Genomic DNA, 10,709 nt, shown 5'->3' with positions numbered 1-10,709 from the left:
GCCTCAAATTGAATTTGTGACCACAAACTGCAAATGGGCCCTTGATAGTGCCTGCCAATGTCATCATGTTTTCTTAGTTATTTTTCTATTCACTTCACTCCCTCACTGTCCAGGTGACTATTGTATACCTAAAAATTTTATTATTCCATCCTCCTCCACACTCTCAGCTCAGAAGCATGTTTCATATTCCATTGATAAAAACAGAAGCAACCAGGAGAGAACTTCCACATTTTCCCATTAACTGATAGATGAAATTATCTGCCTCTCTCTTGCAGATTTGTTTCTATATGAGTGTTGCCTTTGTAATAATATCTTGGAAGGAGTGGTTGGCTTGAAAGGATTAGAAGTGAGATATGGAATCTGGTTGCCTTAGGTTATTTATACCATCAACTTCTCCAGCTTTACTAGATTGTTCCATTAGTGTTCTATACACCATAATATATCTGATCTTTTAAAAATTACAAAAACACAGCCTTAACCACATAATTTTCTCCAGTTTCTGCAGCATTTCTCTGCTTCTCTGTGTGATAAAAGTCCTTACAGGATTGGGCAATGTTTGTTTTCTTAGTTTTCTCTGCCCTCTCCTTTTCTCTCCTGAACTTAGTCCAACCATTTCACTCAAAGAACTCTGTTAAGATAAATTTATCAACATATTCTGGGGGGGTTTTCAATCCTAATTTCATTCAACCTCTCAGTGTCATTTAATGGAGTTGATAATTTATTTATCTTCAAAATGCTTTTGAAACATTAAAAGAGAGAGAACTACCAGTGCTCTACTCTCTTTGTGTCAGCCTCTTATCTGACTGGCTGCTCTCTCTAGAACTTCATTTATTGTAATATTGTTCATCTATCACAAGAAATAAGGTATTAATATATGCTATAACATAGATGAACATTGAAAACATTATACTGAGTGAAATAAGTAATCAATCAGTTAATGCACATTTGGATTGTTTCCGATATTTGGCAAATATAAATGTTACTATGAACATTCAGATACAAGCTTTTGTGTAGATACATGTTTTCATTTGTCTTGAGTGCATACATGGAGTGAAATTGATAGATCATATGGTAACTATGTTCAATCTTTTGAGGAACTGCTGTTTTGTTTTTTAAAACGGCTGCACCATTTTATATTATCACCAGCGTATATGAGAGTCCAGTTTCTCCACATCCTCACCAATATCTATTATTATGTCTTTTTTATTATAGCCATCCTATTGGGAATCAAGTGATGTCTCATTGTGGTTTTTACTTGTGTTTCTATGATGGCTAATAATATACATCTTTTCTTGTGTTTATTGGCCATTTGTATATTTTCATTGGAAAAATGTTTCTACTCAGATCCTTGGTCCATTTTAAACATTGGGTTATCTTTTCGTTATTAAATTGTAAAAGTTCCTTTTATATTCTAGAGACAAGACTCTCATCAGATACATGATTTGCAAATATTCTCACATTCTGTAGATCATCTCTTTTATGATAAAGTCCTTTGACACAAAGAAGTTTTCAATTTTGAAGGTGTTCGGTTTATACGTGTTTTCTTTAGTTGCTTGTGTATTTGGGAACCTATCTAAGGAATTATTGCCTAATCCAAGGTCATGAAGATTTACTTTAATGTTTCTTCTAAGAGTTTTACAGTTTTAGGTCGTTGATCCATTCTAAGTTAATTTTTGTGTACCATGTGAAGTAGAGGGTCCAATATTACTCTTTTACATGTGGTATTCAATTGTCCTATCATCTTTTGTTAAGACTATTATTATCCATTTGTCTTAGAATCCTAGTTAAAAAAAATCAATTAATAGTAAATGCAGGGTTTATATCTGAACTGTCCATTCCATTGATTTATATGTTTGTCCTCATGCGGGTACCACACTGTCTTGATTCCTGTAGCTTTGTAGTAAATTTGAAAATTGTGAATTCTGAGTATCCCTGCTGTTTACTTTTTATTTCAAGGTTATTGTGGCTATGTTTGGTCGCTTGAATATCAACATGAAGTTTAGAACCAGCTTTTTTTTTTTTTTTTTTTTTTGCAAATAATAGAGATTGAAAAATAAGAACAATAGCTGTCTGAGAGGAGAGGAGAAAAATATGGGACAAATAATAGGATCTGCATAATTCATTATTCACACTACCTGGAAAGCAATACAGACATAATCTGTATGTAGAAACAAAAGAAGAAACAATCTGTTACCTTTCTGTTGATGCTTTTCAATAAAATGAGAACATCTCAATTGAAGTCTAAATGCATCAAATTGTTTAAGTCTCAAGATTATCAGTTTTATCACAGGAGATACCTTGTATAAAGTATGTAAAACCAAAGATCATACAAGAAATAAAATATTTAAAATGAGAATACTCGTGGCAGGAAAACAGATATCTCATGGATTTTAGCAAGATTTCTATGATGAGTAATAAGGAGACATAAAAATCAGACCTGCCTACCACATTTAACATCAATCATTTAAAGGATCTTTATGTAATCTTGCATTTCATTACCTTTCATAAGAATAACATTATTTAGAAGGCAAACAATTTGCTTGATGAGTTTTTAAAAATCATAAGTAGGTGCATTTTGGAGCTAGAAGTTTTGACAACTATTGCTGCAGTTGGCCCATGATCTATCTCTTCCATCTCTAATTTGTTATATAATCTCTATTCTTGATTATGATGCTTTGTAGACAGGAAATCTGTCTTTCATCTTGGATCTATAGTGTCTGACCCATTGCCAGGTGAGTAGCAGGTGATCAATAAATGCTTATTGAATAAGTGAATGAAACATAATATTCTCTTATAAGTAAGACAGATGAAAATATAACTAGTTGTGCTCCATCAGTTTTATTTTGAACTAGGCAAGGTGAAATGAACATGTATATATAATCTGAGTAGCTGAGGGGAGAGATCATAGCTTCATTTCATTCTCAGCCATCTTGCTATACATTTCAGAGTCAGAGGTTAAAATGGCAAGGCGTGAGTGGCAAGGTGACATAGAGCAGTTACACTGCATGTAGTCAAATGTTTTCTATTGCAGATCTTAGCAGTTGTCACTCCTTTCACATTTCAATTTCCTAACTATAATAAGGCTACAAATGTGCAATCTTCCAATTCAGATGAGGCTGAGTTTTTATTCATGTAATCGCAACCCAAGTTATCATGAATTAAGTTATGTGCCATTCAAGAATGTGATGTTCACATTTACGAAAGAATTAATATGTGCAGCTACATTGCCTTTAACAAATTATTATTAGGCAGGGATATGAAATGCATTGGTAAGAAACACTTAACAGATGATACTATGACAATGTGCTATTAAGCATATTACTGTAATGTCAATATTATTAAACCTATGTGCCCAGCTAATCCATGAATATAAATTACTTTTGTATCAGTCACACTTTATTATTTATTAGGATTACTGTAATAGCTGTAACTATTCCATTGAGACAACCTCAGGGCATGTCTCCCTCAAAGCTGCAGCTTAGAGAACCATTGAATTCAGATCTTATCTAACAGTGAGTCCCTTAAGTACCGTTTCTCCAAATCGTTTTGTTGAATCAGATGTGACTAAAAGATGTGATTGTTTTCCACTGAAAATTAAGATAGCCTCCATAGCTATTACTAAAATTTGTTGAGGCCTCCAAGCTACCTGGCACTTAACCAAGTGCTTTTCATATATTGTTAAAAGTTACTTCCCAAATTCTGTAATATATTATCCCCAAATACAGAAGGAAAAATTTATGGTTAAGAGAGATTAGAAAGTAAACATCTAAAGTGTCAATGCTTTAGTGCAAATACCTGGGTCCAAACTCAGTTGTCTTTGTTACCAGTCAGAGATTTTTAAATAGGACTGAATTATGTAAATAAGCCATTAAAATTTGGAACAATTGAAATTCTCTTATTTGAGTCCACTGCCAGCAGATGATATATATTTTTGTTCCTCCCTTTGCAAATAGAGATGGCACCTTATTAAAAAAATTGGGGTAATAAGTGTACAATAATTTAAAAAGGTTTCTCAAAAAATCACTGCTTTTTCTAAAGTACACTTGGATATTTGGTTTTATTATCCCCATTAGAAAGAATCCACTGAAATGCACAAGACTATTTACTTCAACTTTCAGCCCTTCTTACACCCAGTCTAATGCTTAGTTTATGTTTTGAGATTTGAGGATAACTCTTTATTTGGATAGCCTTCTATTTTCCAATATTACCTTTACAATAATTTTTGCCCACTGTTATATATTTTAGCTAATTATATAAATATGTATATGTGTACATATAAAACTTTACACTTATTTGTACCACTCTCAAATACGGAAGGTGAAAACAGCATAGGATGTAGCAGTGCATAGGGTTAAGGAAAAGAGCATTTCCTGAGACAAGAAGTGACTCCAGGGTCTGCATGTCTGTTGATCTTCCATATTCTGCTAAATGAAGCAATAGGCATTGCAGCTGAAACTCTGACTACTTCTTCACAAATTTGCCATCTTCTTAAAAACAAATGCTGTATCTAAGCCTCCTTAGCAGTCACGCATATCCCAAATACCACCACAATCCTTTAGTATTTAGATTTGTTTATATCCTGAACAAGATACAAGCTGCAGGTTTCCTGGAAAGGATGTTAAATCAACAGTTGGCCATTTCTGTCTTCCTCTTCCTATTTCTTTCTCATGGAAATCTGCATGTTGTTGCATTATTCTGTTCTAAAGATGAAATCCAGGGATGAACTCAGGACACTAATCCAGAAATGACTAAAATCTATTGGACATTATTGTCCTGTCCTCATTCATATTAATATTTTTTGCTTTTTTTTTTTTTAACCCAGCTCTTTACTGATTTAACGGTTTAAACTAAGTTCTACAGGAGCACAGAGGGTGGAGAGACTACATTGGTCTGTGAAGTTCAGTGAAGGTTCCACGGAGGATGTGGCAATTGGAGCTGAATTTGGAGTTAGAGAACTGTGAGCTCGTTTCATCTATGCAACAGACAGAATGCCAAATATGTCATGTTATGCTTTGGGAATTGTGCAGAACACCCTCTATTACAACTACTTAAGAGCTGTTGCTAGAAATCACTGTTCAGTTTCACAGTTTTCATCCATTTAGATCAGGTCCTTACCGTCAGGGTGCCTTATGTTTTCTGGCTTAAAAAAAATATTGTTGAATGTTAATATCTCTCTCACAGGGTTAAAATTTCAATCAGATTTTAATAGATCCCAAATTAACCTAAATTAGGGCATCATGATTGTCAAGATTTTAATATTCTTAATTGCTGAGCTGAATGTTTATCACATTTAGCAGCAAATAAGTAGTGCTAAAATCAATGAGATGAAATAGTTACATATGAGTTTTTTATTTAATTATTTTACTTTAAGTTCCGGGATACAAGTGCTGAATGTGTAAGTTTGTTACATAGGTATACATGTGCGGTGGTTTGCTGCACCTATCAATCCATCATCTAGGTTTTAAGCCCCCCATGCATCAGCCATTTGTCCTAATGCTCTCCTTCCCCTTGCCACCCACCACCCGACTGGTCCTGGTGCATGTTGTTCTCCTCCCTGTGTCCATGTGTTGCCATCATTCAACTCCTACTTATGAGTGAGAACATGTTATGTTTGGTTTTCTGTTCCTGTGTTAGTTTGACGAGGACAATGGATTCCAGCTTGATCCATGTCCCTGCAAAGGACGTAATTTCATTCCTTTTTATGGCTACATAGTATTCCATGGTATATATGTACCACATTTTCTTTATCTGATCTATCACTGATGGGCATTTGGGTTGGTTCCATGTCTTTGCTATCGTAAATAGTGCTGCAACAAACATACATGTGCTTGTGTCTTTATAGTAGAATGATTTACATTCCTTTGGGCATATACCAGGTGATGGGATGACTGGGTCAAATGTTATTTCTGGTTCTATATCCTTGAGGAATCACCAAACTGCCTTCTGCTATGGTTGAACTAATTTACACTCCCACCAACAGTGTAAAAGCATTCCTATTTCTTCACAGCCTCACCAGCATCTATTGTTCCTTGACTTTTTAATAATTGCCATTCTGACTGGCATGAGATAGTATCTCATTGTGTTTTGATTTGCATATATCTAATGATCAGTAATGTTGAGCTTTTTTTCATATTTGTTGGCAGCATGAATGTCTTCCTTTGAGAACTGTCTGTTCGTATACTTTGCCCACTTTTTGATGTTTTTTTTTTCTTGTAGATTTAAGTTCCTTGTAGATTCTGGATATTAGACCTTTGTCAGATGGGTAGATTGCAAAAATTTTCTCCCATTCTGTAGGTTGCCTGTTCACACTGATGATAGTTTCTTTTGCTGTGCAGAAGCTCTGAAGTTTAATTAGATCCCATTTGTTAATTTTGGCTTTTGTTGCAATTGCTTTTGGCATTTTTGCCATGATGTCTTTGACCATGCCTATGTCCTGAATGGTATTGCCTAGGTTTTCTTCTAGGGTTTTTATGGTTTTGGGTTATACATTTAAGTCTTTAATCCATCTTGAGTTAATTTTTGTATAAGGTGTAAGGAAGGGGTCCAGTTTCAGTTTTCTTCATATGGCTAGCCAGTTTTCCCAGCACCATTTACTGAATAGGGAATCCTTTCCTCATTGTGTTTTTGTCCAGTTTGTTGAAGACCAGATGGTTGTAGATGTGTGGTGTTATTTCTGGGGTCTCTGTTTTGTTGCATTTGTCTATATGTCTGTTTTGGTACCAGTACCATGCTGTTTTGATTACTGTAGCCTGGTAGTATAGTTTGAAGTCAGGTAACATGATGCCTCCAGGTTTGTTCTTTTTGCTTAGGATTGTCTTGGCTATATGGGCTCTTTTTTTTGGTTCCATGTGAAATTTAAAATAGTTTTTTTTCTAATTCTATGAAGAATGTCAGTGTTAGTTTGCTGGGAATAGCACTGAATCTATAAATTACTTTGGCAGTATGGCCATTTTCATGATATTAATTCTTCCTATCCATGAGGATGGAATGTTTTTCCATTTGTTTGTGTCCTCCCTTATTTCCTTGAGCAGTGGTTTGTAGTTCTCCTCGAAGAGGTCCTTCACATCCCTTGTTAGCTGTATTCTTAGGTATTTTATTCTTTTTATAGCAATTGAGAATGGGAGTTCATTCATGATTTGGCTCTTTGCTTCTCTGTTGTTGGTGTATAGGAGTGGTTGTGATTTCTGCACATTGATTTTGTATCCTGAGCCATTGCTGAAGTTGCTTATGAGCTTAAGTTTTTGGGCTGAGATGATGGGGTTTTCGAAATATAGAATCATGTCGTCCTGCAAACAGAGACAATTTGACTTCCTCTCTTCCTATTTGAATACGCTTTATTTCTTTCTCTTGCTGAATTGCCCTGGCCAGAATTTCCAATACTATGTTGAATAGGAGTGGTGAGAGAGGGCATCCTTATCTTGTGCTGGTTTTCAAAGGGAATACTTCCAGCTTTTGCCCATTCGGTATGATGGCTGTGGGTTTGTCATAAATAGCTCTTATTATTTTTAGATATGTTATATGAATACCTAGTATATTGAGAGTTTTTAGCATGAAGTGGTGTTGAATTTTATCAAAGGCCTTTTCTGCATCTATTGAGATAATCATGTGGTTTTTATCATTGGTTCTGTTTATGTGATGGATTACATTTATTGATTTGCATATGTTGAACCAGCCTTGCATCTCAGGGATGAAGCTGACTTGATTGTGGTGGATAAGCTTTTTGATAAGCTGCTGGATTTGGTTTACCAGTATTTTATTGAGGATTTTCACATTGATGTTCATCAGGGATATTGGCCTGAAGTTTTCTTGTTTTGTTGTGTCTCTGCCAGGTTTTGGTATCAGGATGGTGCTGGCCTTATAAAATGAGTTAGGGATGAGTCCCTTCTTTTCAATTGCTTGGAATAGTTTCAGAAGGAATGGTACCAGCTCCTCTTTTTATCTCTGGTAGAATTCAGCTGTGAATCCGTCTGGTCCTGGGCTTTTTTTGGTTGGTAGGCTATTAATTACTGCCTCAATTTCAGAACTTGTTATTGGTCTATTCAGGGATTCAACTTCTTTCTGGTTTAGTCTTAGGAGAAATTTATCCATTTCTTTTAGATTTTCTAGTTAATTTATGTAGAGATGTTTATAATATTCTCTGATGGTAGTTTGCATTTAGGTGGGATCAGTGGTGATAGCCTCTTTGTCATTTTTTGTCACATATTAATTTATATTTACTTGAGATAGGCATTTTTCAAGGATTTAAATTTTATTTATATTATTTAACCTCTGTTACAAAGTATAGAAATTCAGTCTTTTAGATATTCATTCAACATTTTTCATTATTAATTCATTTAACAAATACCTGTTGAATGGTCTACTCTAAATTGGTTATGTTAGGGTCTTTATTAAGTGCTAGGAAAAGAAAAATTCACAAATCATAGTCTCAATGAAATCTGCTTTCGTTATAAACTAACGGCCTTTTGCAGTTGAGAACTGCTATTTTTTCTTTTAATCTTACTCAGGTCTGACTTTTAAGAACATATGCACTTATCTGGAAATTGAAACAATATTATCTAGTATATCCGAGGAATCTTGAAATTTTAAAATATTTCACATTTGAAGCACGTAGTAGTTTCATAAGCGTCTAGCACTTTAAAATTTATTATTATTGCACTACTTCTATTATTACTATATTACTATTGTTTGTACTATCTCTAAGTTGCCTGTCTGATGCTTGAATTTCCTAGATCCTGGATCCAGAAAAATTAAAATCATATGAGAGGGTTGATATACAAGAAAATTCAAAAGTAGAGTTAGCAAAAGTGGTTTTTAAAAAATTGCTGCAAATTTTGCTGCAAGTTTGAATACAGTCTTGGAATTCTTTGGGTAATATGGCAAAAAATTATCTCAGCTAAATGAAATAAAATATCCATTTTGTATATGATTTTTACCAACAGGTTAGTAGGAACTGGTCAATTTAATTAATGTAGTTATATCTATTGCCTGAGCAAACATGGTCTTACTCAAGCTGAAATGTAAATTTGAGATCTTTCTCCTGTCACACTTGATGGGGTTTGGCTGTGTCCCCACCCACATCTCACCTTTAATTGTAATAATCCCCACAGGCCAAAGGCAGGTCCAGGTGGAAATAGTTGAATCATGGCGGGGGTTTCCCCCATACTGTTCTCGTGGTTGTGAATAAGTCTCACAAGATCTGATGGTTTTATAAATGGAAGTTCCCCTACACAAGCTCCCTTGCCTGCCACCATGTAAGACATGTCTTGCTTCCCGTTCAGCCATTATTGTGAGGCCTCCCCAGCCATGTGGAACTGTGAGTCAACTAAACCTCTTTCCTTTATAAATTACCCAGTCTTGGGTATGTATTTATTAGCAATGTGAGAACAGACTAATATAACACTTATTCTTCCTTTGGTTATAGTATTAATGAGGTTATTGAGTAAATTGGATTAGATAGAGGCCAACCAAAAAGCAACTTCATTTTTTCATACCACTGCATTTCTTTCATGGTATTCTAAGTCTTTTCTCAATCCTGTGATATTCTGGGTTTATCCCAAATCCTTTATCTTCATTTTCAAACATAAACAAATTATCTAATTTTCTATTAAATCTTCAATCTCTCATCAAATTCAAACTTATTTCTTCTCACAGCTCAGCCTGAGAAATCTTATTTTCCCCACCTTGACTTCCTACTCATCACCTCCATTCACTGTGTAGTCTCAGGGTTCTTCTGGGAATGGAATGGTATCTTAGTCTATTTAGGTGCTATTGCAAAATATCATAAACTGAGTGGCTTATAAAAACAGACATTTATTTCTCACAATTCTGGAGGCTGGGAAGTCCAAGATCAAGGCAGACTGGGTATCTGGTGGGGCTCAACCTTCTGGCATATAGATGGCACTTTTTTGCTCTGTCTTCCCATGGTGAAAGGGACTCGCTAGCTTCTAACCCTCTGGGGTCTCTTTTATAAAGACACTAATCTCAATCATGAGGGCAGAACTCTTCCAAAGGCCTCACTTCCTAATACCATCACCTTGGGGATTAAGATTTCAACCAACAAATTTTGGGAAAACATAAGCTTTCAGTCCACTGAAATGGGGAGAAGAAAATAGGTGAGGGTAGATACAAAGATACTGCTTGACTGGTAAATGTGCAGTCTGGCATAGGAACACTTGTCTAAATGCTGATCCTTCCTATAATGAGTTCCTCAGAGATTTGTCCACTAAGAACTTTGGCTTCAATGCACTAGCTCCTTATGCCTCTTACCCAAACCCTGGAGTCTTTAAGTCCACTTTTCCCTGTTTAAGGTTTTGCACAGTTTCTTCCAAGACAATTCAGAATCATATCCCTTCATCAGAGTTTTCATTTGGCCCCAGGGAAGCACACCTTTCCTCCACCACAGATGAGATTGAGGTGCATTCTTCTGAATATTCTATAATAAAAAAGACCCAGCCAGCTTTTTACATTTAGACTGTTTTTCAGACGTAAGTCAGATACTAGTTCCCAAATCTCTCATATTTATAAAACATTGTAGTAGGTACCAGTAAGATTCTCTTGACATCTTCTTTCTCCCCTATCCTTATGTACTCTGAAAATGAGTGATGGCTAAGTGTTGCCTGATATTTTGGGGGTCATCTCTTACAAAGTTCTATAAGGATGTTCTGACACATTTTTTTATTGTGAAAAGGTACTAATATCCTTTGTTCTCA

The sequence above is a fragment of the Homo sapiens genome, chromosome 12 (assembly GCF_000001405.40).
Source record: "Homo sapiens chromosome 12, GRCh38.p14 Primary Assembly".
NCBI classification, from domain to species: domain Eukaryota; kingdom Metazoa; phylum Chordata; class Mammalia; order Primates; family Hominidae; genus Homo; species Homo sapiens.
Note: the sequence above shows the minus strand (reverse complement) of the source record.